Raw genomic sequence first — 27,092 nt, forward strand, 5'->3', positions numbered from 1 at the left:
AGAGGCAGACGCCCATGGAGGGTGTTGAAAGCCACCCCAGCTGCTCTGCTGCTTCAGGGCAGGGGATCTTAAGCCCTGTGGAACTGTAGGCTGGTGAAGCTTGTGGACTTCTGCTCAGAATAATGTTCTTACATGCACCAGACAAAATAGCTTAGGGTTACAAATGAAATATATTATATGGAAACACAGCGAAAATATTTTTTAAAAAAGACTACAGTAGCATTAGGCATGCTTCTTTATTAGCACATTAAATGACAAGCTCTAGTGGCAGATCTAATGTCTACCATAATTTTATTTTTACTTTTATTATTATTATTATTATTATTATTATTATTATTATTATTATTTTGAGATAGTCTTGCTCTGTCACCCAAACTGGAGTTCAGTGGTGCGATCACTTCAGTCTTCAACTCCTGGGCTCAAGCGATCCTCCTGCCTCAATGTCCTGAGTAGCTGGGACGACAGGCGTGTGCCACTGTGCCTGGCTAATTTTTTTTTTATTTTTTTAGAGATGGGACCTCCCTGTGTGGCCCAGGCTGGTCTTGAACTCCTGACCTCAAGCGATTCTCCTGCCTTGACCTCCTGAAGTGCTAAGATTACAGGTGTGAGCCACTGCACCTGGCTAGCATGGTTTTAAATTTGTGCTCAATTTAAATGGTATTAGGATAAATTATTTACAGGTAAATTTATGATATGATCTTGGTCAGTATTAATGAAAAATTATGTTGCCTACCTTCATACTTAAAGGAAATAGCAAATTTTAGTTAGAAGTTGGTGACAATTAATATATAATAATTTTTCCATCCAAGTTTACTGTAGACCGATGGCCCGAGTTCAGGGTTTCCTCCACATCCACTCATATCTTGGGCTCAGCAAAGAAGATCACAGGGCACCCACTCTATCTTAGGGGCCCATTCACTTGTCTCTCAGTCCTGCCCTCAGAGATCAAGGTTTGGTGTTCATTCATTCATTCATTCAGCAAACACTGAGCACTGCCTCCGTGCCAGGCTATGATACACAGTGAGGTCCAAGGTCAGATGAGATGAGGTCCTGCCCTCAAGCTGTTCACCATGCTTCAGGGAGAGCATAAGAAGAACTGCTCCAAGATGCAAAATGTAGACAAGCATAGGGACATGCTCACCCTTCCTGGTCATCAAACACCCAGCGATGGTGAGGTTGGGGTTAGATGGTCACTCCTGGCTAGTGACACTGTCCATTGCCTAATCCTTTTGAAAAGAAGTATGGCACTGCATCACATTGGTCATGGAAATTCCAGAGTTCCCTTTCCCAGCACTCTCACTCTGCCAGTTTTTCCCGAGGAAATCATTCAGCAGGAGGGACAAAGGGTGGAGGGCAGAAGTCATCCCTGCTCTTCCTGAGTCTGTGCTCTCCCCAGGGAAGGGGCTGTGTTGTGTTCAGCTTGTTCCCCTGGTGCTGACACGTGGTAGCACTCGGTGAACACCTGCTGGGTGAATGTCTGACTGCCGTGTAGTTACGATGTATAAGAGGAGGGAGGTGGCAGAAGGGGCAGTCCAGGAGCCCTCCACTGACCAGGTTCCTGACTTCTCTTGCAGCCACCAAAATGCCAGAAGAGATGGACAAGCCACTGATCAGCCTCCACCTGGTGGACAGCGATAGTAGCCTTGCCAAGGTCCCCGATGAGGCCCCCAAAGTGGGCATCCTGGGTAGCGGGGACTTTGCCCGCTCCCTGGCCACACGCCTGGTGGGCTCTGGCTTCAAAGTGGTGGTGGGGAGCCGCAACCCCAAACGCACAGCCAGGCTGTTTCCCTCAGCGGCCCAAGTGACTTTCCAAGAGGAGGCAGTGAGCTCCCCGGAGGTCATCTTTGTGGCTGTGTTCCGGGAGCACTACTCTTCACTGTGCAGTCTCAGTGACCAGCTGGCGGGCAAGATCCTGGTGGATGTGAGCAACCCTACAGAGCAAGAGCACCTTCAGCATCGTGAGTCCAATGCTGAGTACCTGGCCTCCCTCTTCCCCACTTGCACAGTGGTCAAGGCCTTCAATGTCATCTCTGCCTGGACCCTGCAGGCTGGCCCAAGGGATGGTAACAGGCAGGTAGGTTCTGGGGGAATAATACCCATCGTAACAATAAATATAAATGGCTAATTTTCATCGAGTGCTGCCAGCATGCTCTTTTTGATATGTTATCATAACTAATCCTGCATCACTGCAAAATTCCATTTTACAGAACAGGAAATTGTGGCTCAAAGACATTAATGATCTTACTGAAAATTCCATAGCTGGTAAGTTGGGATTTGAACCCAGTTCCTATGGATCTGAAACCCATGTTCTTTCTGCTATGGTAACAGGGTTTCCTAGAGGGCAAGGAGGAAAAGGTTGATGGCTTTTTGCTATTTGGAGCCAAGAAGGAGAGAGACTTGGCTTTTAGAATTGGACTCAGAAGGAGGAAAGTAACACACTTATGTACCCGGCCCTGAGGAAGGCAGGCATGTCTCAAATTTTATCGTATTTATTCTAAGGGCTTCCAAGAACTGATTTCTCAGAAAAGTCAACAGCAGGTTTTTCTGGGGCTAGATAATGGCTCCACGGAACAGCTAGAGCTGCATACGTTTCTTGCCACGAGGAGCTCTTACCAAGACAAGGTGGTTTTTAATGCCACCTTGGTTTTTAATGCATTTTCTTGGCGAAAGAATGCCAGACTCCATGTGTGAGAACTTCCACCAGTGAGTCGAGCCCAGGTGCCAGGCTCTGTAGGACAGTTTAAAGGTGCCCAGCCATACCTGACTACAGCACCTTAAATGCAGGCTGCATCATGGGACTCCCAGGTATGGACCAGGAGGAACAGTGGAGAGTGTTGGATGCAGGGCCTGGAGGGAACGGAGCAAGCAAGCTGGCTGGAAAAGACTTGGAGGAGGGCTTTGACCTGGGCCCACCTCATGCTGTCAGGCTCAGGGAGCAGGGAGTGCATTCCAGTCTGAGGGAACAATCTGAAAAGGCACAGAGATAAGAAACAATGCTCCTAGACCTCAGTTTTCTCACCTGAAAAATGAAGACTATAGTACCTACCTGCGGGCTCATGGCAAGGCTGAGAGATCATATATGTAAAGCTCAGCATAGAGTAGGTGTTCAGTCTGTGTTTGGAGACTAAACTGACCAATGCAGTGTCAACAAGGCCCACGGGGTGCTTGGGGATCTGAGGACTGCAATGTGCCTGCAGGGGGACCTCGTGGGTCAGAGCAGCGGGCTTCAAGGCGGAGAGGGCAGGCTGGAGCTGGCTTGTAGAAGGCCTTATGTGCTGGCTGAGGGCTCTACTGAGCCGAGGGACATCATCAAGGGGGGTGATTCTGAACTGAGGGATGGAGCTGCAGCCACAGCTGCCCATTCTGCACCATACGCAAAACTCTTTTGCTGAGCGGCTCCCAGGGCAGGCCACGGCCTTGGAGACAGCCATGTCGGGGGCCCATGGGGACTACCTGGATGAGCATTTTGCTTGTGGTTGCTGATGTCCACGAGCTGGGCAAGATGCTTACTGTTTGCAGCTTCCCTCCTTGAGTAGTTGGCCTGGCTTGGCAGGTGGGCCAGAGGCTGGGAGGCCTGGGCAGCAGAGAAAAGACCCCTAGCCTGGGAGCTAGAACCCCATTGGCTCCCACCTGTACCATTGACTGGCAGCTCACTTGAACAAGTCCCTGCCCCTCTGGCCCTCGGTTTCCTCAGCTGCTCAGTGAGGCCCTGCCCACTCCTGTGGCCTGTGACGCCGTCTGACTGCCCCACTTTTCTCCCGCAGGTGCCCATCTGCGGTGACCAGCCAGAAGCCAAGCGTGCTGTCTCGGAGATGGCGCTCGCCATGGGCTTCATGCCCGTGGACATGGGATCCCTGGCGTCAGCCTGGGAGGTGGAGGCCATGCCCCTGCGCCTCCTCCCGGCCTGGAAGGTGCCCACCCTGCTGGCCCTGGGGCTCTTCGTCTGCTTCTATGCCTACAACTTCGTCCGGGACGTTCTGCAGCCCTATGTGCAGGAAAGCCAGAACAAGTTCTTCAAGCTGCCCGTGTCCGTGGTCAACACCACACTGCCGTGCGTGGCCTACGTGCTGCTGTCACTCGTGTACTTGCCCGGCGTGCTGGCGGCTGCCCTGCAGCTGCGGCGCGGCACCAAGTACCAGCGCTTCCCCGACTGGCTGGACCACTGGCTACAGCACCGCAAGCAGATCGGGCTGCTCAGCTTCTTCTGCGCCGCCCTGCACGCCCTCTACAGCTTCTGCTTGCCGCTGCGCCGCGCCCACCGCTACGACCTGGTCAACCTGGCAGTCAAGCAGGTACCCACCCCATGCCCTTCCTCCCTCTGGCAACTCAGCACATGCTTGTCCAGCACCTCCCCCCCCCACCAACCAGGTGCAGCCGATACCCACGGGTGCAGCCTTACCAGGTGCCAACTGCAGATTCTGTTCCAATGGGGCAGCACCCACATCCTCCTGCCCAAGATTTTGAGTATCAGTGAACAAAGCAGATGAAAATTCCTGCCCCCATGGGTACAGCCCAGTTGGGGCAGACTTAAACAAAATACAGCAGTGAGTCATAGTGGGCGTTGAGAGGATCAGGAGTGCTAAGGCGCAAAGGAAAGCAAGCGTGGGCGGTGGGGGTGCAGGTTTGAAGATGGTCCAGGAGGACTTGCAGAGTGAGTGCTATGTGAGCAGAGCTGGAAGGAGGGGAGAGGGGCCGGTGGCCTGCTGGGGTGATGTTGCAGGCCACGGGGCATAGTCCTTGGGCAGAAGTGTGCCTGGTACGTTGGAGGAGCAGCCAGGAGGCCCATGTGGCTAAAGCTGAACAAGGAGGGGGTGGCAGGCGAGGCCTGAGAGGAAGAGCTTCAGCCTTAGGCTCCGAGTGAAATAGGGAGCTGGTGAAGGTTTGAATTTAGGTGTTGATCGGCCTGACATTTTAAGTGGTTCTCTCTGGTTTTTGGCTGAGAACAGACTGTAGGAGGTCAAAGGCAGCTAGCTGCTGGGGCCAGCGAGGAAGCCGTGCATATGCCCAGATTTGAGGCAGTGGAGGCTGGAGGCAGTGGGAGCAGTGGAGGAGCAAGGAGATCCTGAAGGCACATGTGAAGCTGGAGTGCATGGAATTGCCGCTGGAATGGCCCCAGGGTTTTGTGGGTGATCAGGGATGACTCTGGGGTTTGGGTCTGAGCACCTGAAAGAGAGAGTTGCCATCAGCTGAGATGGGGAAGGCTGCAGGAGTGAGCATTCCAGGTTTAGGTTTGTTGTTGTTGTTGTTGTTCTTTGTTTGTTTTACTGGGGGTGGCACTAATCATTCATTTAGAAAATTCATATGGGGCTTGGTTGCCAGCAGGGTTCCTGGGAAGTGGAGGACCTTCAGGCCACACCAGGTGGGGACCCAGGCATCAGCTGGCACCTGTGCCCACAGAAACAGGCCCCTGATGCTCCCTCCTGGTCCACAAGCTCATGGGGCTTGATTCTTAGTCCCAAGCTCACATCTTCAGCAACACTGTCTTTATTTTCTCCAAATTAATTCCACCTCCAGTGCCCAGCCCCGGGGCTGGTTGATGCATAGGTCCTGCCCACTCCAGGACGCTAGTCACCCAACAGGGTTCAGCCCAGGTGCTGGTGAGACACTTCTCATCCACCCCTCATTCCAGCCTGGCAGCCCCTGCAGCTCCTGCTCCTGCTCAGAATGCAGGGACCTTGGTGAGGCTGGGCCCTCCCCTAAACACCTAGCACAGGGCCATCCCCTCCGAGCATGGGGGATTGGCAGGACTGGGAAGCAGGGCTGGGCACCTCCTGAGAACCACAGACCTCAGCCCCTACTCACTGTCAGGGTTGCTGCTTCTCTGCCAGCAGCTACTCGACTGCCCTCGTCCTTTGCCACCCACAGATACCGGCATCATTGCATCTGTGGGCTCAGAATTTCCTAAGACAAAGGAAGAACCCCAGACTTCAGGCAGAAAAGCAAGATGCTTGATGGAAATGAGAGGAAGGGAAGAAATCAGTCATGAACCCTTAACAAGAGCTCGCTGTGTTCCAGGAACCATTCTAAGAGCTTCGTACACCACTGTGAATTCATTTAACCCCATCTCATCCCTGTAGGCCAGGTGCTATTATATCCTTATTTCATAGATGAGAAATCTGAGGCACAGAGGGGTCAAGTAACTTGGCCAAAGTCACACAGTCAGTAAGTAGCACAGCTGGGATTCAGATCCAGCTATTTTCCAGATCCATGCTTATACCCACGCTGCTTTCTACAGGCAAACCAAATTCACAATTGAGTAAATGATTTCAGAACTAGGTCATTCATTCACTCATTCACTGAGCACCTACTCTGCCAGGCCCTGGGGCCACAGAAAGGAGTAAGAAAGACACAGACCATCTGGCTCCTCGCCTCAGCTGGTGTGGGGCGGTGTGGAGGCCTGAAGGCTAGAGGCTGGACTCCTGCTCTCCAGCATCGCTGACTGGAACAAAGATCTTGACCTTGAGCAAGTCACAGCCCCTCTTTTGTCCTCGAGGCCCTGATGTGTAGATCAAGCTCTCTCCTAGTGCTAATGTTTTCAATGCTCTTTGACGATATTTTCTTACTGACTTCTACAAAGCACCAGCCCCTTGGCAGGAGGCTCTGCGGGGCTCCCTGGGGACTAGTACAATGTTGCTGCCCAGGACGGGGCAGATCTGCATGGAGGAGCCCACTCCCTCTCCCCTGAGCTGGCAGGTATTTCCAGCAGCAGTGGGAAAGACGGGGACGGTGCCCACTACCCCCCAGGGTAAAAGACACACCACTGCTCCCTCCCTCCCCTGCCACCCTTCAACTGCCTTTGTCTAAATTCTCTGCCCTGCCAAGGCTCTCCCTGATATTCTGTTAACCCAATTCTGCCCTGATGCAAATACCAGGGCACAGAGGGGCGCATGCAAGGTAATTTTCCCCGTGTCCCAAAAATCTTTAGGGCTGCAGGCCCTGGTGAGGTTGCCAGGCAACCATCCCTCCCGCAGGACGAGATCAGTCAGAGACACCGAAGGCCTCTCATGCAAAGGGGCTTAAACTTGTTCTGCAGAGTTCTTAAGGGCAAAACCAGGGCTGATGTGGTTATGTCGGGGTGGGTGGTCGGAGGGAGGCAGGGGCTTGACACACAGCAGCCCAGATACGGGGAGGTGCCCAAGCCTGGGCACATCCAAGCAGATTCTGGATGGTCCATGGTAAGCCATGCCCGCGGTTCTGGGCCTGGGCACCTGAGGCTGTTCTGCCTTCAGCCCCAAACAGCAGGGACTCCTGGGTGGCTCAGGCTTGATGTGTGGCTTCTGCTGCCAGCCCATGGGCACCTCACCACAGGGTCCCCACATGGCCACTCACCACCCCAACTGCCCACTAGGCCCTTGGGTCAAGGGAGCACATTAGTCTAGGCACAAGAAACTCCTCCAAGATTTCCTTACAGCCCTGAGTCTGCAGATTAGGAGGCAAAGGTGTATGCCAGCTGTAGAGAAAACCTTTGAGACCATGTTTACAGACAGTATTATTACCAACAATAACCGATATTTGTACAGGGCATTTGGATTTGCTTGTGTATTTCCCTGGAAATACACATTTCAACATCAAACTCAAAGATCAAGATCAAAGAAATGTTTAACCTGCACACTGTTCTCCTGTTACCTTCACCCCGTTCTCCTATTACCTTCACCCCAAGCTACATCTGCACATGGCTGGCACAGGATGGTCTGAAACTCTCATCTGACCATGTCACTGCTGAAAAGATCCAGTGACCCCAGTGTCCTTGGGATAATGGTAGAACCCTCACTATGCAGCTAGACTCCCTCCGCAGCCTCATCTCCCCTTCTCCTGTGACGTGTCAACACTTGGGTCCCATACTGTCCTCTAAATGGGCAGAGCTCATTCCTCTCGGCTTGGAACGCCCACCCCAGGACACCTTGACAGCTTGCAAACTCCTATTCCTCCTTCAAAACCCTACCTCTGTTAAGCTCCCCCAGACTATCCCCTTACTTCCCCATACCTGCCTCTGTAATCTGTTGCATTTTGTAAATACTTTTTTATTATTTTTCTTACACACTACTTCATACCCGACTCAGAGGTCCATGACTGGGTCTTCTACACCTTGGGGTCCATGGTTCCTAACACAGGTTCACAGTGCATGCTCACTGAGTGACTGATTTTTAAATTGGCCACCACAGAGCCAATATCAGGCATCTTAAGAGGAGTGCACGTAGAGCTTGGAGCAAGAACTAGTCTAACTGCCTTGCTGCCACTAAGAACAACAGCCATTTATTACATTAAGTGCCCACTGTGTGCCTGTTCCATGCTACTCATTCCACAAACGTAATGCTTTTAGTCCTGCAGTAACACAGCAAGATACAATGATGCTATGAGCCAGGAAAGGGACTGCCCAGGGTCTCATGACTGCCCACCAGTGGCAGAGTCAGCGTCAGAATCCAGGCCTATGGTCTCTATGCCCCAAGGTTGCCCTTCCACACCCTGCCACCCCCTCCTCCTCTGAGTCTGGCAGGCAGTGAGTTGGTACCACTCTCTTCCCATCCATCACCCACTATGAAGACATGGAGAGGGGCTAATGCTGCAGCCTCACTGGTCCTTCAGCGTCTGACCTGCAACCTAGAGGGAAATCCCACACCTGAATGCTGTCTTTCCATCTCTTGTTGATGAACACTCTCCTTGGCCTTCTCAAGGAGAAGGTGGTGAACTTGATCATCTCTAAACATAGAGACTTACTTACTAGGGGAGCTGTTACATCTGCGTTCCAGTTAGCCATGTGTGCCACTGGTCACCAGGGAGCTCTGAGCACAACACTGTGGTTTAATAGGCTGGCTGAGAATCTCATGGACTCCTAAGGCTGGCTTAGGTTCTGTCCTCATGCGGGTCTTTGCCATCCACTGCTCCCTAGCCCACCTCATCCCTCCCTTCCCAGCGTCACTGCAGACTGGAAATGTTAGAGGAAAAAAACAAGGCATTTTACAAGCCAATGTGGTATACGTGTGTGTAATCATCCAAACTCTGACTTGTGACATTAACTGCCTGATCTTCCCGAGGCGCAGAGAGGAATGACTAATGAAGCAGAGTTAAAGAACAAACAACTTCCAGCGAGGAGATGACTTACTCAATTCATGCTGTGAGGTGTGAGTAAGACTTCTCTGGGCAGAGGTACGGAGGAGACCTCTCTGCCCTCTGCACGCCTTTCCAGCTAATGGTGACTTCAACCACAGCAGGCACATAAGCAAAATCAAGAGAATTTCAGACATGACCTCATCCAAACCTCCTAGGTAGAGAAACTGAGGCCCAGAGACAGTCTTGCCAGAGTCACATGCCACTGGTGGTCAGGACAAGAGGCTGGGTCCCTAGACTCCTGGTCCCTTAGTGGCTTAAAGTCACCAAAGTGAGCCAGGCCTGCCCTAAAATAGAACAGAGCCAATCATTTTTCACAGATTGCAGGAAAAGCACTCAATGGATGGCATTTTCTCTGTTTCTTTAAACTTTCTCTTATAAGCTGTACAACCATTTTGCTCAGCCCAGTGGATTCACTTTTAATATTTTATGTGGTAACTGAGCTCGTGTTTTTTTTTTTCTGCTGAAATTGTTTCTCAAAAAACCTGTATGAGTCATTCTGTTTTGAGAGGCTGCCTATTAAAGTGTAGTCACATCTTCTAATGGAAATACTGTTCCTTGTTCTGCTGACATTATAGAATAAAAGTACCAGCATTTCACAGTGTTTCACAGAGAACACCTTGACTTCCAGGAACTCTGCTACCCGGTCTAGTTGCACCTTGATAAAAGTTCTTCCTCATGAGGGCACTATGCGAGTGAGTGTTGGCTGGGCTAGGAGGGGGCTCAGTGGCAAGGTGGGGAGAGAAGGGTCAGAAATCTCCAGGTTCATAGGGGCTCCCCAATTTATATGTCCTGGAACTTGGTGGGGGGGCCCAGATCTCTGTGAGGGCAGGGTAAGGGCAGGTATCTTTATTTTCTGTAGCCCAGGGCCTGGCACACAGTAGGTGCTTCGTAAGTGGTCACTGAACTGCTTGGTGAATGGCCGTCAGTCTCTCTTGCCTGGCAAAGTTGAGCCAAGGCTGTGTGCCTCAGGCAGAAGTAGAGAACTGGGTAGGAAGAGGGGAGGCTGAGAGCTTTGGGTCGGGGAGTGTTGGGGGCTCAGTGTCTGTATGTGTCTTTGTATGTCCTGAGTGTGAGCCAGTGATGGGGGCAGTGTGGGGCTCCAGGAAGACAGAGGGCTCAGGGTGAGACAGGCTGGGAAGGGAAGCAGCCAGTAAGGTGTGAGCTCATTGGCTGAGGGGATTCAGAGCTAGGAGAGCTCCTCTCTCCTGTCCTGGGATTCTGGGGCCGGAAAACCGTGAGACGGAGCCATGCTTAAGGGCTGTATTTCTGGTTGACTCCTTACTCTGCTGATGTGACTGTTCTGATTGGCTGCCCCGGGGCAGATATGTGAAAGCCCCAGGAGCCCCGGTCATTGGCACCAGGCTGAGTGGGTCCTGATCCCAGCTCTGCATCTGTTAGCTACATGTGACCTTGGGAAAGTGATTTGATCTTTGTGCCTCATTTCCTCCATCTCTAAAATGGGCTAATAGTGATCTCTACTTTGTGGGGTGGTTTTGAGGATTCGATGAGTTAATGCCTGAGAAACGCTTATCACAGAGCCAGGTAGCGTCAGGTGCAGTGTGAGCGCCCGCCGTCTTGTCTTTCTTGTGTCCTTCATCATTGCCCTCCCGGGGCACCAGCCTTTGCCACAGTGTTCATGGTTTTCCTTCCATCCATGTCAGGTCTTGGCCAACAAGAGCCACCTCTGGGTGGAGGAGGAGGTCTGGCGGATGGAGATCTACCTCTCCCTGGGAGTGCTGGCCCTCGGCACGTTGTCCCTGCTGGCCGTGACCTCACTGCCGTCCATTGCAAACTCGCTCAACTGGAGGGAGTTCAGCTTCGTTCAGGTAAAGTAGTCTCTAGTCTGCCAGCCAGCTTCAGCGTGGCCCTGGCCCACCTCTCATGAGTAAGTGCTCTGCCTTTGAGAACTGCCTGGGCTCTGATCATCTGCACAGCAGGACCACTCGGTGAGATGCCAGGCCTTCCTGACCCAGAGGGCCCATCCAAGCCTCTTGATAGGGGCTGCCTGCTACAAGCTTAACCTCCCAACACATGAGGAAGCCAGACACAGGCATGTGAAAAAATTACAGACCAGGACACTGAGCCCTGGGTCCACCATTCTCAAGCTTCTAGAATTCTTGAGCTTTCCAAACAAAATTGAATGACATGAAGTCATTGGACATTTTGCTGGTCTAGGTAGGAGTCATCATCTACCTAGACATCCATCTAGGTAGGAGTCTAGGGAGTGAGCGAGCCTAGCCCACCACCCTCCACCCCTCATCTCAACCTGGCTCTGTTGTTCCCCTTAACCCCTTGATTCATGCAGCGTGGATGAGACACAAGCATTAGGACCCCAGTTTATAGGGGATGCGACACAGCTTTTTCCCAAGGATGCCATTCCTATGAAAAAATCCAGAAAAAGGAGGTCTGTCATCAGATGAATTTGAGAAAAGATTTACTTCCCCCTAAGAGATCACAATGCACTTTGGCACATCAAAGATTCGAATAACATCTACAACAAACAAACCTTTGTTAATCAGACTTATTGGAGTGTTAGCACCCTCCCCCTCCTTTTTTCCAAATAACAGCTATCAGCACTCCACAAGCTGGGCGCTGTGGCATGTGGCTGGGATCCCAGCTACTAACAGAGGCTGAGGTGGGAGAATCACTTGAGCTTGAGCGATTCTTCCAGGAGTTAGAAGTTCAAGTGTCCAGCCTGGACATCATAGCAAGACCTTGCCTCTTAAAAAAAAAAAAATACTCCACAGAACATACTCTGGGAAATGCTGCTAGTGGCAAAAGTTTCTTTTTGCATTTGTTCATTCAACAAACATTTATTGAGCACTTACTGCAGGCCAGGCATCCTGCTAGGCCTGTGATGCAATAGAGAACAAGACAGGCAGAGCCATCTTTCCATGATAAAGGAAACGGAGGCAGGGACATTGTTTACATTTCTTTGGCATCTCCCACTGTTCTCCACACAGAATCTGCGGTCAGTGTTGGCGGATTAACTCCTCCCCTCCCATGAGTGGGAGCTGACTAATGCTGTATCCTGCCATTGTAACAGGGCAGAGAACAGCCATCCTATCCACCCCCACTATCAACAGAAATCTGTGCAGGGAGGACGTGGTACAGGACTCAGGGACAGTGACAGCGTAATGCTCTTACGTAATCCAAATTAATTGCTCCTGACCAGGGATGCTTCACATCCATTGGAACAACACAGAGTTGTAGCCGTGTGTTTTTTAAAGTGTGTCTGCCTCTGAATCTCCCTGGCTCTGCTCATCTCAGAAGGTCCCTGGAGGAGGGCTCATGGCTGACACATGTTAGCATACGAGAAGGGGAAGAATTTTATTTATCTGCCACTAATCCCCATGTGTCTCATACCCAAATCTAGGATTTTCCTCTTCCCACCTGGAGTATCCGGCGTGCATGGTTTATCCACAATTAAAGCAGACTGCAGGCTGCTCCCCTCACCAGAAAGCCGCTCCCTTAAGCAGCCATAGATTACATGCCCTGGCTCTGCCTGCCAGAGAAAGCCGGTGGATTTGATTTTGTTAGCAAGAGCTGACTGAGACCCTAGCAGCTGCATTCTACTTTACATATTAAAGAGTGGAAATACAAATAGGACAGTCCTTTTGCCACTGCAAGAGCAGGGGGGGTTAGGTGGGTAGAAAGGCAGGATTTTACTTGTGGAAATCAGTGCCTGCCTTCCATCCACAAAAACCAGATGTCAATATGGAGGAGGCACATGTCAGCGGCGCCTGGGAAGCCTGAGTTCCAGCTTTCCCTCCCCACAACCCTGCTCTGTAACTGTGGGCAGAGCATGTCTGCTCCAAGAGCCTCAGTTTACACCCCTGAAAAATGGAGTTAATGCCTTACAGGGATTTTATGAGCCACAGTAAGAGATTATGTGTGAAAGAAAAATAAAAAGCATTTTGCTATTATTCTTAGGGTATCTGGCCACATTTCCATTATCTCTGACTAAGGTACCAACCACCGATTTCTGAGTTCAGTAGGAGACAGTGAGACAGAGGCCAAGGAACCCCAACCCTGGGCCTAAAAGTGGTCCAGTCAGTGTTTGCAAACTGGCGGACACTCACTAGTGGGTCATGCAATTGATTCCATGGATCACAAGCAGCATTTTAAAAATGAAATAAAATAGAATGACAAAGAAAACAGTGGAGTGTTTTGCATGGTGTCGGGATACTTTTTCAGTTATATGGAATTGCTAGTTTTATTTGCAAATGTAGCATACCTCGTTGTCTACCGGACAGCAGAGTAAAACATGGTTCTTACTGTGAGTCCCTGTCAAATAGGCTGAAGCCAGAGCCCTCTTGGAGAAACAGAGATAACCCAGGCCTGCCTCCCATCCGTGGACTCAGATGCTGAGGGATGGCTCTGGCAATCTATTTTTGCAGCTCCCTAAGTGACTGATAGGTGCGCATGCCGCAGTGTGTGGCAACTTCCAGTGCAGGAAACACAGGCAGTGGAACCCGAAGACCTGAATCTCAGTCCCAAGACCCCCACTTACCTGCCCCGCATCATCAGACAAGTTTCCTAGGCCCTCGGAGCTTCTGCTGCTCACTTGTGCCTGTGTCCACCCCATATGGTCATCAAGAGGATTTGAGCTGGACACGTTAAATGCAGGATGCGTGCAGCCAACAGTGGCATGCTGGCTTTTGAGGTAAGCTGCAACCTTCTCCTTTAAAGTTAGCGTGGCTAGTGAGAAGTTACCTGAGCCCCATCACCCTCCCCTACACACATGTCCACAGCAGACACCAGGCTATGGGGACAGCCATGGTTCTTGAGGGGCCTTGGCTGACCCCTAGATCTGTAATGCTTTTGTTACCGGAAAAGGGTCCCGATCCAGACCCCAAGAGAGGGTTATTGGACCTCACGCGAGAAAGAATTCAGGACCTGTCCATAGAGTAAAGTGAAAGCAAGTTTATTAAGAAAGCAAAGGAATAAAAGAATGGCTACTCCATAGTCAGAGCAGCGGCATGGCTGCTCAGCTGCTTATACTTATTGTTACTTCTTGATTATATGCTGAACGAGGGGTGGATTATTCATGAGTTTTCCAGGAAAGGGATGGCAATTCCCAGAACTAAGGGTTCCTTACCTTTTTAGACCATATAGGGTAACTTCCTGACATTGCCATGGCATTTGTAAACTGACATGGCGCTAGTGGGAGTGTTTTTTAACATGCGAATGCATTATAATTAGTGTATAATGAGCAACGAGGTCACTCTCGTTGCCATGTTGGTTTTGGTGCTTTTGGCTGGCTTCTTTACTGCAAGCTGTTTTATCAGCAAGGTATTTATGACCTGTATCCTGAGCCGACCTCCTATGTCATCCCGTGACTAGCAACGTTTAACCTCCTGGGAATGCAGCCCAGTAGGTCTCAGCCTCATTTTACCCAGCCCCCCATTCAGGTGAAGTCTCTCTGGTTTGAACACCTCAGACACTTCGTTTAGCTAAAAACCATTGAAACAGTGTATTGATTCCACAAAGAGGTGACTTGTGCTTGCATTTATCCTTTTGTTCCCAAATCTGTTTTCAAAGTTTTACATGTTGTTTTGTGTTCCTTTGGGTATTTTTTTTTTTTTTTTTTTTTTTTTTTTGAGACGGAGTCTCACTCCGTCACCCAGGCTGGAGTGCAGTGGCACAATCTCGGCTCACTGCAACCTCTGCCTCCCGGGTTCATGCCATTCTCCTGCCTCAGCCTCCCAAGTAGCTGGGACTACAGGCGCCCGGCACCACACCTGGCTAATTTTTTTTTTTTTTTTTTTTTGTATTTTTAGTAGAGATGGGGTTTCACCGTGTTAGGCAGGATGGTCTCAATCTCCTGACCTCATGATCCGCCTGCCTCGGCCTTCCAAAGTGCTGGGATTATAGGCGTGAGCCACCGCACCCAGCCTTCCTTTGGTATTTTTTTGTTATTGTTTTGGTTTGGTTTGGGTTGTGCTAAGTGTTTCAATTCAGCCAGTTTTAACTGGCTGTTAGATATTAGACTGCAAAATACTCCAGTCAGAGCAGCTCACCTGCGCAGAAAAATGAGGGTTCAGCTTTTAGAACCTAAGTTCTTTCCCAGAGTTAGAGGAACTGCCTGTGACCTTGCCCACTCCAGCCACCTGCCTGAAATAATGACAAGACCAGCCTGACCCCAGCTTCATGAGCAATTGTCCAAAGCCCCTTTGTGCCGTAGTAATTGAGCACCAGCAGGAGCTACAACGACCTGGCTGTTTCTTTTTTGCTAACAAGCTTACGTATAATAAAAATGGCTCTAGCTTGGGGATCTTATTAATCGCCTCATGACAATCCCTCTCCTTTTGGGCTTCTTTGGGTTCTGGGATTTTTAAATTGTTCCCAAGGAGAGTTTTTGGGAAACAAACTCCCTGGAATCATGCAGGCTTCCCACTGGGACAGGAAAGTCAAAGGCCCTTTGTTATTGGCTGGCCTTTGGCTGTCAGCCCTTGCTATGAACCACTGGCCTGAGGCTGGAACTTCCTGCTGTCTGCACCATGGGATTTTGAATGGCACAAGAATGAGGCTATATGAACAGGAGGAGCTGACTGCCACTGGTGGGCCTGGGAGCAGCGTCTCCACACTGTCCCTGTGCAGAGCCCAGAGTGCCCAGCAAAATTCATCACTCTCCAGATCAGGGGCTGGGGACAGTGGCCCACACAGACCAAACACTGGAGCTACAGGGCATGTCACCCGAGGGAGATGCAAAGACCTCACTGGGGCTACTAAGGCTGGCTTTCCAGGCCTGGATGGGCTCCCATTGCTGCACCTCCTGGGAAAGCCCACGACACAGAGGTGGGCGCCAAAAGGCTCTCAGTGGGGCTTTGTCTAAGGAACAGATAGGTCCAGGTCTTCCTCAGGCAAGTGACCTGAGCAGAGGGGCCCGTGTGGACTTTTCACCCTGAAGCTAGAAGGGTGTGGTGACGACAGTCTCCTAAATGAGTGGCTTTAGTCCTAGCTGCCCATCAGCCTCATCCGCCGAACCTTAAAAAACAACAGATGCCCCGCCCCAAACCAACTTAATCTGAATTTCTGGAAGTGGGGTTTGGGCACTAGTATTTTACCCAAGCTCCCCGGGTGATTCTAATGTGTAGCAAGGTTTGAAAACCACAGTCTAAAAGCCACAGACTGTTAAACTCTTGGGGATAAAGGGCATCACCCAGCCATCTTGGCAACACCAATAAGTCCACAATGAGGAGGGGTGGGAGGGCCCACAGTTAGTTAGGGCTGGGCACCTGGCTGGGGAACATCAGGGTGATTGACTTCAAGACTTACTCTTTTTTTTTTTTTTCTTTTTTTTTGAGACGGAATTTCACTCTTGTTGCCCAGGCTGGAGTGCAATGGCGTGATTTTGGCTCACTGCAACATCCACCTCCTGGGTTCAAGCGAGTAGCTGGGATTACAGGCATGCGCCACCACACCTGGCTAATTTTGTATTTTTAGTAGAGACGGGGACGGGGTTTATCCATGTCGGTCAGGCTGGTCTTGAACTCCCAACCTCAGGTGATCTGCCCGCCTCGGCCTCCCAAAGTGCTGGGATTACAGGCGTGAGCCACCGCACCCAGCCAAGACTTATTCTTGATGGTCAGTGCTGGGGACTTTTTTAACCACAGTCTTCCACACTAAGAGATTAGAATTTAGAAAAGTTGGGGTGGCTCAGAAGTTGCAGGGGATTTGGAATTCTTGACAGACACTTCTGGAAGTGGCAAGGATTTGCTTATGTGCAACTGACAGTCAAGGAGTCTTCTCTTTGGGAGGTGACCACATTAAAATGATAGGAATTCACTGTGGGTGACAGCATAAAGCCAATCGTGGCTTCCTCACTCTTCGTGGTGAGCCAGAAGTTGTTAAAGACTGGGCCAAGAAGATTCCAAAAATGGACACAAAGCCAAGAAGAACCAGAGAGGGTGAGGAAGGATAGAGAAGGTTTTATTTGGTTATTTTACTTGGGCCCAAGAATGTTGAACGTGAGAACCTGTCTGTGAAATTGTAGTGTGCAGCCATTGGAAAATGTTTATTATTATCTTTAGCAAAAGCTTTACAAGCAATTCTCCCACACCATGTTCTTTCACTCACTGACGTTCACTGTCCTGGTGTCTGTCCTGGAGCAGGAAATGAAGGGACACACACACACACACACCAGGGAGGAGCAAGAACGGGGCCCAATGTGGAATCAGACCCACTTAGAAACACTTCTGAGGGGAGTGCAAATGAGAAGCGTCTGTCAGCCGAGGCTCTGGATTGATGCCAACAAGCTGGGCTAGAAGGGAATCCAGGAGGCTCAGTCCATGCAGACCACCCAGAGGTCTCAGTGTGCCGCCACACTTAAATTACACCCTCGCAATGTCTCCTTGGAGAAAATGCATATGTGTTCATTGCTTGATGGGTCATCGCTATTTCCATCCCTGTGTAATAGACGTGGGAGGTCTCTCCCAAAGCTCTCAGTGGCTCACCAGTGCTAGCAGAATTCAGTCAGAGCACCCCTGTGCCACGACTCCCTCGCTCTCGGTGCCCTCTGCTGTGTCACTTGCCTGCCCTGTCTAGGGGACTAGATGGAGGCTACTGCAACTACTCAGCGCTTCCCCCTCTGACTTTAGCTTTGGAAATTACTTATCTCCCACTGAAGTTGATTAAGTCGCCTGCCCAGGGTTCATATCAGTTGAACCAGCACCAACAGTAGAACCTGCATCTCTTCCTTCGTGGTCCACGAGAACTCGTACATGCCAAGAGGCTGGAGTCATAGAGCAGCACTTCCCAGCCATTTTCACATTGCATCTCTTACAGAAAGTCATGCTTTGGGTGGTGGATCAGCCACTCTCGGCTGGAAGTGACCCACAAAAGCCCACACATTGTTCAAGGGGTGTGAAGCTCCATTGTAAAATGGCCGGGACCATTTCCATTTAGAGTTGGGATGGTCTCTTCTCCCAACGGTCACTAATCTCCTCCAGATGGAAGAGTAGGCCCAGCGGGGTTTCCACCCGGGTTGTTTATAACCCAGTGTGGGGTGGGAGGTGAAGGTCTAGCATGCACAGAGGGCATCTGTGTGGTGTTCTGGGGCTTTCTATACGGTGCCAGGTCACCCAGACCACAGGCCCCGTGAGTCCCCTTCGCTACTGGTGCCAAATCCACGTGCCATCTGTAAATTATTTACTCTGCATTTATCTTCAAGCTAATTTAAAATCAATCCACTTTTTGTCTGATCTTAACTTAGGCCAAATGTTATCTGTGAAATTATGATTTTGGTATGCAAGCAGACACTTGTTACTCTAATATACATTAAAATACACACATAACTAGTAAAATTTATACACACACACACACACACACATATACATGTATATGTATATATATATTTAGAGACAGGGTCTTGCTCTGTTACCCAGGCTGGAGTGCAGTAGTGCAGTGGCACAATCTTGGCTCACTGCAACCTTGACCTCTTGGGCTCAAGTGATCCTCCCATCTCAGCCTCCCAAGTAGCTGGGACAACAAGCACATGCTGCCACAGCCTGGCTAATTTTTTTGTATTTTTTGTAGAAACAGGGTCTCACTATGTTGCCCAGGGTGGTCTTGAACCCCTGGGCTCAAGCAGTCCACCCACTTAGGCCTCCCAAAGTGTTGGGATTACAGGCGAGAGCCACCGCAGCAGGCCTTAAATGTTTTTTAAACTTCTTTGAACTTAATTCCATCTGAAATCATCCAGCAGCCTCCAGAGATAACAAATAACAAAGTTAAGGAAAAAGCATGGTCATATAGTTATTGTATGGAATCCGTGTGAATTGGTGGGTCCTTAGACACCTTCAGCATAGAAGCATTATTCCCATTTTCCTGTTGTGGAAGCTGAGGCACAGAGAGTTGAGAGTTATCATAAGATCACACTAAGAGAGTGACAGGACTGGGGTTCCAACCCATAGCGGTGAGTACTAAAGCCACCCTCCTTCCCCTCCGCCAGGCCAGCAGATGAGTCGTTGGCAGGATCACTGCATCTGTCATCCCCTCGCCCTCACTCCAGCCTTTTTTTCCCTCCACAGTCCTCACTGGGCTTTGTGGCCCTCGTGCTGAGCACACTGCACACGCTCACCTACGGCTGGACCCGCGCCTTCGAGGAGAGCCGCTACAAGTTCTACCTGCCTCCCACCTTCACGCTCACGCTGCTGGTGCCCTGCGTCGTCATCCTGGCCAAAGCCCTGTTTCTCCTGCCCTGCATCAGCCGCAGACTCGCCAGGATCCGGAGAGGCTGGGAGAGGGAGAGCACCATCAAGTTCACGCTGCCCACAGACCACGCCCTGGCCGAGAAGACGAGCCACGTATGAGGTGCCTGCCCTGGGCTCTGGACCCCGGGCACACGAGGGACGGTGCCCTGAGCCCGTTAGGTTTTCTTTTCTTGGTGGTGCAAAGTGGTATAACTGTGTGCAAATAGGAGGTTTGAGGTCCAAATTCCTGGGACTCAAATGTATGCAGTACTATTCAGAATGATATACACACATATGTGTATATGTATTTACATATATTCCACATATATAACAGGATTTGCAATTATACATAGCTAGCTAAAAAGTTGGGTCTCTGAGATTTCAACTTGTAGATTTAAAAACAAGTGCCGTACGTTAAGAGAAGAGCAGATCATGCTATTGTGACATTTGCAGAGATATACACACACTTTTTGTACAGAAGAGGCTTGTGCTGTGGTGGGTTCGATTTATCCCTGCCCACCCCACCCCCACAACTTCCCTTTTGCTACTTCCCCAAGGCTCTTGCAGAGCTAGGGCTCTGAAGGGGAGGGAAGGCAACGGCTCTGCCCAGAGCCATCCCTGGAGCATGTGAGCAGCGGCTGGTCTCTTCCCTCCACCTGGGGCAGCAGCAGGAGGCCTGGGGAGGAGGAAAATCAGGCAGTCGGCCTGGAGTCTGTGCCTGGTCCTTTGCCCGGTGGTGGGAGGATGGAGGGATTGGGCTGAAGCTGCTCCACCTCATCCTTGCTGAGTGGGGGAGACATTTTCCCTGAAAGTCAGAAGTCACCATAGAGCCTGCAAATGGATCCTCCTGTGAGAGTGACGTCACCTCCTTTCCAGAGCCATTAGTGAGCCTGGCTTGGGAACAAGTGTAATTTCCTTCCCTCCTTTAACCTGGCGATGAGCGTCCTTTAAACCACTGTGCCTTCTCACCCTTTCCATCTTCAGTTTGAATGACTCCCAGGAAGGCCTAGAGCAGACCCTTTAGAAATCAGCCCAAGGGGGAGAGCAAGAGAAAACACTCTAGGGAGTAAAGCTCCCCGGGCGTCAGAGTTGAGCCCTGCCTGGGCTGAAGGACTGTCTTCACGAAGTCAGTCCTGAGGAAAAATATTGGGGACTCCAAATGTCCTCTGGCAGAGGACCCAGAAAACCACACTGGCTCCAACTTCCTCCTCATGGGGCATTACACTTCAAAACAGTGGGGAGCAACTTTTCCACCAAAGCTACAAACCTAAAATGCTGCTGCCCCAAAGCACAAGAGGGAAGAGCACCGCCGGGGCCACAGGACGTCTGTCCTCCAGTCACAGGCCATCCTTGCTGCTCCCTACTGACTCTAGCTTACTTCCCCTGTGAAGAAACAGGTGTTCTCGGCTGAGCCCCCAACCCTCTGCAGAACCAGGTTGATCTGCCACAGAAAAAGCATCTTTGAAGACAAAGAGGGTGAGGTCTTCATGAGTCTCCTGGGCCCAAAGCCATCTTCTGATGGAAGGAAGAGAGTAGGGCCAGTGAAGGCTGCCCAGAGAGAATGTCACAGATGAGGCTGCCCCTGCCCCCCCCCCGCCAGGGAGGTTTCATGAGCTCATGTCTATGCAGCACATAAGGGTTCTTCAGTGAAAAGCAGGAGAAGAGCCCACTGCAAGGATAGCTCATTAGGCACATGACCGATGCAGGGAAGGCCATGCCGGGGAAGCTCTTCCTGCAGGTATTTTCCATCTGCTGTGCCAAGGCTGAGCGGCAGAAACTTGTCTCATAAATTGGCACTGATGGAGCATCAGCTGTGGCCCACAGAGAGCCTTGCTGAGAAGGGGGCAGGTAAAGCAGAGATTTTAGCATTGCCTTGGCATAACAAGGGCCCATCGATTCCCTACTAATGAGAGGCAGGGAGAGCATGGGCAATGGAGACCCACCAATGATCCCCAACCCCGGTGGGTACTGGCTGCCTGCCCTGGGCCAGGGAATGGCTCCTTATACCAAAGATGCTGGCACATAGCAGAACCCAGTGCACGTCCTCCCCTTCCCACCCACCTCTGGCTGAAGGTGCTCAAGAGGGAAGCAATTATAAGGTGGGTGGCAGGAGGGAACAGGTGCCACCTGCTGGACAATCACACGAAAGGCAGGCGGGCTGTGTACTGGGCCCTGACTGTGCGTCCACTGCTGTCTTCCCTACCTCACCAGGCTACTGGCAGCAGCATCCCGAGAGCACATCATCTCCACAGCCTGGTAAATTCCATGTGCCTCTGGGTACAAAAGTGCCTCAACGACATGCTCTGGAAATCCCAAATGCCACAGTCTGAGGTTGATATCTAAAATCTATGCCTTCAAAAGAGTCTCTGTTTTTTTTTTTTAACCTGGTAGACAGTATAAAAGCAGTGCAAATAAACACCTAACCTTCTGCAAACTTCAGGCTTTTATTTCTGCCATGTAGATCACGTATCCATTCGTCCACTGACTCGAGAAGCCTTCAGCTTGGAGCCTGCTCTCAGGCAGGCAGTGTGCAAGGACTTGGGACTGCCAAGGTGAACACAGTGATCTGTGCTAGAGCTGGCCAATGAGGAAGGGCAGATGTGCAGACCTAAGGGACTAAGGGACATGCCAGGGAGGAAATGGGCAAGATCCAGGTGACAGAGTGTCGGGTGGGGGTGTGGGGATGTGAAAAGGTGGCTTCCTGGAGTGGTCTGAAGGCTGAGGCCTCGGTGCAGGTAAAAGCAGCAGAGCTTCTTGAATTATAATGTGCCTGGGAGTCACCTAGGAATGTGGTTCGAATGCGGGTTCTGATTTGTGGTCTGGGGTGAGGCATGAGACTGTGCATTTCTAATAAGCTCCTGGGTGACCTGTATGGTGATGATCCTCGGACACTCCGAGCGACAAGAGCTTAGATGGCATTCTTTGCCTCTGCTGTGCTTAGTCTATGGCACACTAATCTGTACACACACATCTCTGTCCCCTCAATCCTCCCCATGAGCCTGCATTCCCCTGGCAGCCCTGGCAAGGTACACGTCTGTACAATGCTATCTATGACCCCCGTGTTCTCTTAAAGGCAGAGGGAGAAACACTCCATCTTGGAGCCACAGCCTTGCACTTTGTGCTTCACGAGGGCTGCGGCACATTGGCCCTGGGTCCATCAGGAAAACAAAAGGAGCTCTCTTCAGAGACCACCCAACTACCATGCAGCCGAGCCTTCCTGCTGAAGCAACCAGACTGCCTTATGGTACAGGGCAAGGGGGCAAGAAACCCAGTGCAGAAAGTGGTCTAGTGGCTAAAAACCATTTCTTGGGAACAATAACCAAAATACAGCCCTGCCATTTTGAGTTCATTATAAGGATTTTCCAAAGAAAGAACCATGGCCAGTAAATACATTCATGACAAACAATTTTCAAGGTGAAAAGCATCTTGTCCTTGGAGGTTTACTTTTCTCCTCTGTGTCCTCCCATGCATAAAGCTGAGAGAGTTAACTTTACAAAGAAGTAATCAAATAGATGAAAAATACCCCCTACCAAGGTAGCCCATGTAAGAACTAAGGAACCACCAAAATCACGCATATCAGTTCAGGAGAGAAAGTTATCATTTAGCTGTTTGACACGTTGAATCTTTTCCAAAAGCAATGAAGCTAGCTCTTGGAGTGCAGAAGCTCTCTTGTGCTGGGCCACTTCCCTGGTCTCAACCAAGAGAGAGTTGGCTCCACTAAAGCAGAAATTCTCAGTCCCATCCACAATCACTGACTTCTTCTAACAAGTCTTCTGAAAATCTCTTTACTAATTTCTGAAATGAAATTCAGAAATAATATAACCTACCTATGCATATAATTTTTAAAATCAGTGTAAGGTCTAAATTGAAACATAAAGTAGAAATAATTTACACTAATACATATATAACATTAATAATGAATAATTATTATATTAATAGCCTTACAATAAATAAATTGGTTTTTAAATACAGTATATTCAACTAAACATTGTTGGCTCATTTGTAGCTGACATTTTAAGATAAAAGTGCGTGTGTGTGTGTGTGTGTGTGTGTGTGTGTGTACTGTGTCCACTGTGAGTGTTTGAAATTGTGTTGAATGCTATGAAGAAATCACATAGGGTGAAGACCAATAAATGTCAACTAGATTTGGAAACATGGAAACCTAATGGTGAGAATTTCAGTAGGATGTTGAGGGTAAAATCCAGATTGAGTATGAATAAGAAGGAAATGGAGACAGTAATACTGGACAACTCTTCTGAGATTTGGCTGTAAAGCAAGGGAAAGAGAAAGGATGGGTAATGGGAGGGGTATGTGGGGGTTGAAGGAGGGCTGGTTATTTTTTTCCATGGTTCTGACCTAAACATGTTTTAAATGCTTCTGGGGAATAAACAAGGTGAAAAGGAATGATGGAAGATGAGAGAGAGAATGATAGAGAATCACAAAGTCCTGGAGGACATGGGAAGAGATGGAGTGCAGAGTACAGGTGGCTTTAGAGGAGGAGATTGTCCTTTACAACTAGGAGAGAAGGGGAAAAGAAGTGGCTGAGTATTGAGGGGAGGGGCTAGTTGTGATGACACAGCATGTGACAGTTCCCTTCTGATGTTGTCTGTTCTTTTTAAAAAAACAGTCAATCCCTTCTGCTGAGAACAGGGGAGGAGGAAGGTTTGGCTCTGAGGGCTGAAGAGGGACAAAATGGCTGAAAATAATTGTTGGAGAAAATGTAAAGGGAGCAGACCAGAAAAACTGATAGGGTTTAAAAAACAAAAACAAAATTTGATTATAACCATTTTTTATCCAGAGTGAAATATACCAAATTGTGTTTCCTGGGAAGTGTGCAAAGTAGATTTTTGTTTAGTTAAATTCCATTTTCCCTCACCAGTTTCTTTAATAATTCTAGGTAGTTTGTCTTAGTTCAGTGTCATCTCTAATAGTCACTCAGAAATGCCTTGGCTTCATTTTTGTTTTCTCTATTCAGAAATGAACAGTCACAAATGGAACTTTGATGCACTAGGCAACCAAAAACTTCCATTGCCAATCCTCCCATAAAGTGAATAATCAACACTCTTGCTTATTGAGGGTTGATTGCATTTATTGGACCAGAAACCTAACTTATATCTATAATTCTCATATATGAAGAGTCTATTCTTAAAAATCTAATTTTAGCCAACATTTAAAACTTCTGCAACTAAAGAATTCATGTGGGCTTTTAACTTCCTGAAGGGTCTTCCTGCTTAAAACACAATTAGTTCCTAAACAAAAGACATACTTTTTAAGGCAATACTGAATTTGCAGGAAGTAAGGGAAATCATCAGGACAGAAAATAAATGGGAACACACACAAAAATCAAAAACAAACAAACAAAAAAAAGCTCTCCTTGGCTCCTGGCAGAAGCAAATGCAAGTCCTTTCTGAAGAAAAGCAACCTCAGTTCAGATCAACCAAATAAGAAGCTTAATATTTACAATTAATAAACCATAGGTGAGACTCAGTAGAAACAAAACCTGAAGGACTTCGAAGAACAGAATCGTCAAACATACGATAATGATATATTAAGTATCTAAAGAATTAAAAAATAGAGTTGCAAAAAATAAATAAGCAATAATATACTATAAAGGCACAGGCATGATGAAAAATGGAATTTTCAGAAATAAAAAATTGTCAGAAACAAACTTAATTTGGTGAGTTTAACAGCAGATTGGAGAAAATCGTGAATTTTAAAAGCTAAAAAAATTACCCAGAATGCAAAAGAGAGACAAATGGATAGAAAATATAAAAAAGTCATTAACAGAGATAAAGGTTAAAATGAACAACTATAACATACAAATAGCTGGAGTTCCAAAAGGAAAGAATGGTGAAGAGGCAAATTTTAAAGAGATAAAGACCAAGAATTTTCTAAAACTAGTGAATTACTGGTATCCAAAAATGCTGAAAGTGCAATGTATACCATCAGGCAGGAAAGCAAATTTAAAAGTAAAGCTACAGTTAGCCACACTAAGCAGCTCTTAAAAGCAGTCGAGAAAAATTATAAATGACCTACAATTGTGGAATTACAACAGACTTCTTAACAATATCAATGGAGATTAGAAAATAGTAGTCTAATATCTTAAAAGTTCAGGGGGAAGTGATTGCCAACTTAGAATTTTAAATCAAGCAAAACTGACTTTCAAGATTGAGTGCAAAATAAGAATGTTTCAGATTACAGAAATTGAGAGCTTACCAACAGTTCTTTTCTGAAGAACTTCTAAAAATATACTTCAGATAGAAAGAAAATGATCCCAGAGGGGAATCTGAAAACAAGAAGAAACAGTGAGTGAATAAGTGGTGACCCTCAAGGTAAATCTAAGCAAACCTTTTCTCTATAGAAGAAGAATATCTATGTAAGTGTTTTTTTTTAAAGGACATACTAGGCTGGGCACGGTGGCTCACGCCTGTAATCCCAACACTTTGGGAGGCCAAGACAGGTGGGTCACCTGAGGTCGGGAGTTGGAGACCAGCCTGACCAGCATGGAGAAACCCCACCTCTACTAAAAATACAAAATTAGCTGGGCGTGGTGGCACATGCCTATAATCCCAGCTACTCAAGAGGCTGAGGCAGGAGAATTGCTTCAACCTGGGAGGCGGAGGTTGTGGTGAGCCGAGATAGTGCCATTGCACTTTGGCCTGGGAAACAAGAGTGAAACTCCATCTCAAAAAAAAAAAAAAGACATACTAACTGGCTAAAAACAATGATATGTAAATAAGGGATTGAGTTAAAATGTTCTGAGGCTCATATTTGTTTAGAGGTTGGGGTTGGGAAAGTTATGGGCTAATTTAGATCTTGTTAAGTACATCTAGAAAAATGTCAAGGGTAACCATAAAAAGCTAAAAGTATAATGCCAAAATCCTTAGGAAGGGAAAAAAATTTTAATTGGATTTTTGAAAAACAAGAAACAAGAAAAATAGCATAGGTAAAGCAAGACACAGAAAACAAAAAGTAGGTATTAGAAAAAATCCACATATATTCATAATTGTGAAACAGAATACCATGCACTGGTATCAATCCTTATGAGGGGCACACCATATGTTGGATACCAGGAGAGGACTCTAAACACTTTGCCAATTTTTGTAAAGATTCCTGTATCTGGTGGATGCCCAGGTCTGGCAGGAGTCTTTACACAAACACAGCTTCTAAAGGTTTTGCACAAACCCAGCTGCCGGAGTCTGAGTCTGGTATGACAAAACACCTGCACAAGTCAGGCAAAGCCGACTTATTACTCACAGATATGTAGCAAAGATAGAAGCATAGAATCCGTGGGGAGCTGGTCCCCCAGAACTCAAGCAAGCTGCCCAGGGCAGACGGAATCCCATCTGCATATGCCCAACTTCACACTACAGCTGAGGGACCCTGAAAGCAGTCCACTCTGGATTTTATACCCTACAGGTACTTAAATCACTGAGCTTAAGCATTGCAGAGCACCTTGTTCTGAGAGGAACAAAGACAAAGCCCAGGCTGTTCTAGATGGTTCTTCCTTATCCCAGGATGTTACATTCTCAGTACATTCTGCCCAAGAATTGTAAGAAGGAGCAGGGAGAGCTGAATCAGCCAAGGTCATTCAAGGACTTGTCCTCCTGCAATAATCACAATAAATACAAATGGATTAAACACTTCAGTTGAAAGATAGAGATGGTCAGATTGGATTTTAGTTATATTTATAAGTGGCATACCTAAAGACTCAAGGTAAAGACATGGAAAAAAGTAAGTTAGGCAAAATCAAACTAAATTAACATTGGAGTGGCTAGATTATTATCA

The 27,092-nt window shown here is 48.6% G+C and overlaps 1 protein-coding gene and 2 long non-coding RNA genes across 8 annotated transcripts in view, besides 4 other annotated features; 1 reads left to right on the forward strand and 2 right to left on the reverse strand.

The window, feature by feature from the left end:
- The window catches only part of STEAP3 (STEAP3 metalloreductase), a 41,819-nt gene extending 20,081 nt beyond the window's left edge, over positions 1–21,738 (forward strand). For 5 of the 6 annotated variants that reach the window (XM_011511403.2, NM_182915.3, XM_047444895.1 and 2 more), the window contains 4 exons: positions 1,575–2,074; positions 3,765–4,292; positions 10,770–10,934; positions 19,143–21,738. In XM_011511403.2, coding sequence (XP_011509705.1) covers positions 1,583–2,074; positions 3,765–4,292; positions 10,770–10,934; positions 19,143–19,424 — 1,467 coding nt within the window. In that variant the 5' untranslated portion in view covers positions 1,575–1,582 and the 3' untranslated portion in view covers positions 19,425–21,738. Of the gene's footprint in view, positions 1–1,574; positions 2,075–3,764; positions 4,293–10,769; positions 10,935–13,542; positions 13,775–19,142 lie in introns of all 6 variants that reach the window. The other variant, NM_138637.3, reaches the window with a different exon arrangement.
- STEAP3-AS1 (STEAP3 antisense RNA 1) lies at positions 508–5,157 on the reverse strand. The gene is made up of 2 exons (NR_046721.1): positions 4,400–5,157; positions 508–2,967 (listed from the first exon to the last, which is right to left on the reverse strand). It is a non-coding gene; the product is annotated as an STEAP3 antisense RNA 1 (long non-coding RNA).
- Positions 10,497–11,440: an enhancer, noted in NCBI's record as "H3K27ac-H3K4me1 hESC enhancer chr2:120011987-120012930 (GRCh37/hg19 assembly coordinates)". NCBI's record gives its function as "activates a minimal SCP1, AML or CMV promoter by ChIP-STARR-seq in primed H9 embryonic stem cells {active_cell/tissue: H9 hESC(primed)}" and the evidence as "EXISTENCE:reporter gene assay evidence [ECO:0000049][PMID:30033119]".
- Positions 11,766–12,632: an enhancer, noted in NCBI's record as "NANOG-H3K27ac-H3K4me1 hESC enhancer chr2:120013256-120014122 (GRCh37/hg19 assembly coordinates)". NCBI's record gives its function as "activates a minimal SCP1, AML or CMV promoter by ChIP-STARR-seq in primed H9 embryonic stem cells {active_cell/tissue: H9 hESC(primed)}" and the evidence as "EXISTENCE:reporter gene assay evidence [ECO:0000049][PMID:30033119]".
- Positions 15,502–16,275: an enhancer, noted in NCBI's record as "NANOG-H3K27ac-H3K4me1 hESC enhancer chr2:120016992-120017765 (GRCh37/hg19 assembly coordinates)". NCBI's record gives its function as "activates a minimal SCP1, AML or CMV promoter by ChIP-STARR-seq in naive H9 embryonic stem cells {active_cell/tissue: H9 hESC(naive)}" and the evidence as "EXISTENCE:reporter gene assay evidence [ECO:0000049][PMID:30033119]".
- Positions 21,410–21,509: a silencer, noted in NCBI's record as "silent region_11902". NCBI's record gives its function as "represses an Ori minimal core promoter by ATAC-STARR-seq in GM12878 lymphoblastoid cells {active_cell/tissue: GM12878}" and the evidence as "EXISTENCE:reporter gene assay evidence [ECO:0000049][PMID:35858748]".
- On the reverse strand, positions 21,711–27,092 carry LOC105373581 (uncharacterized). The gene is made up of 2 exons (XR_001739666.3): positions 26,760–27,092; positions 21,711–25,590 (listed from the first exon to the last, which is right to left on the reverse strand). It is a non-coding gene; the product is annotated as an uncharacterized LOC105373581 (long non-coding RNA).

The sequence above is a fragment of the Homo sapiens genome, chromosome 2 (genome assembly GCF_000001405.40).
Source record: "Homo sapiens chromosome 2, GRCh38.p14 Primary Assembly".
Lineage (NCBI taxonomy): Eukaryota > Metazoa > Chordata > Mammalia > Primates > Hominidae > Homo > Homo sapiens.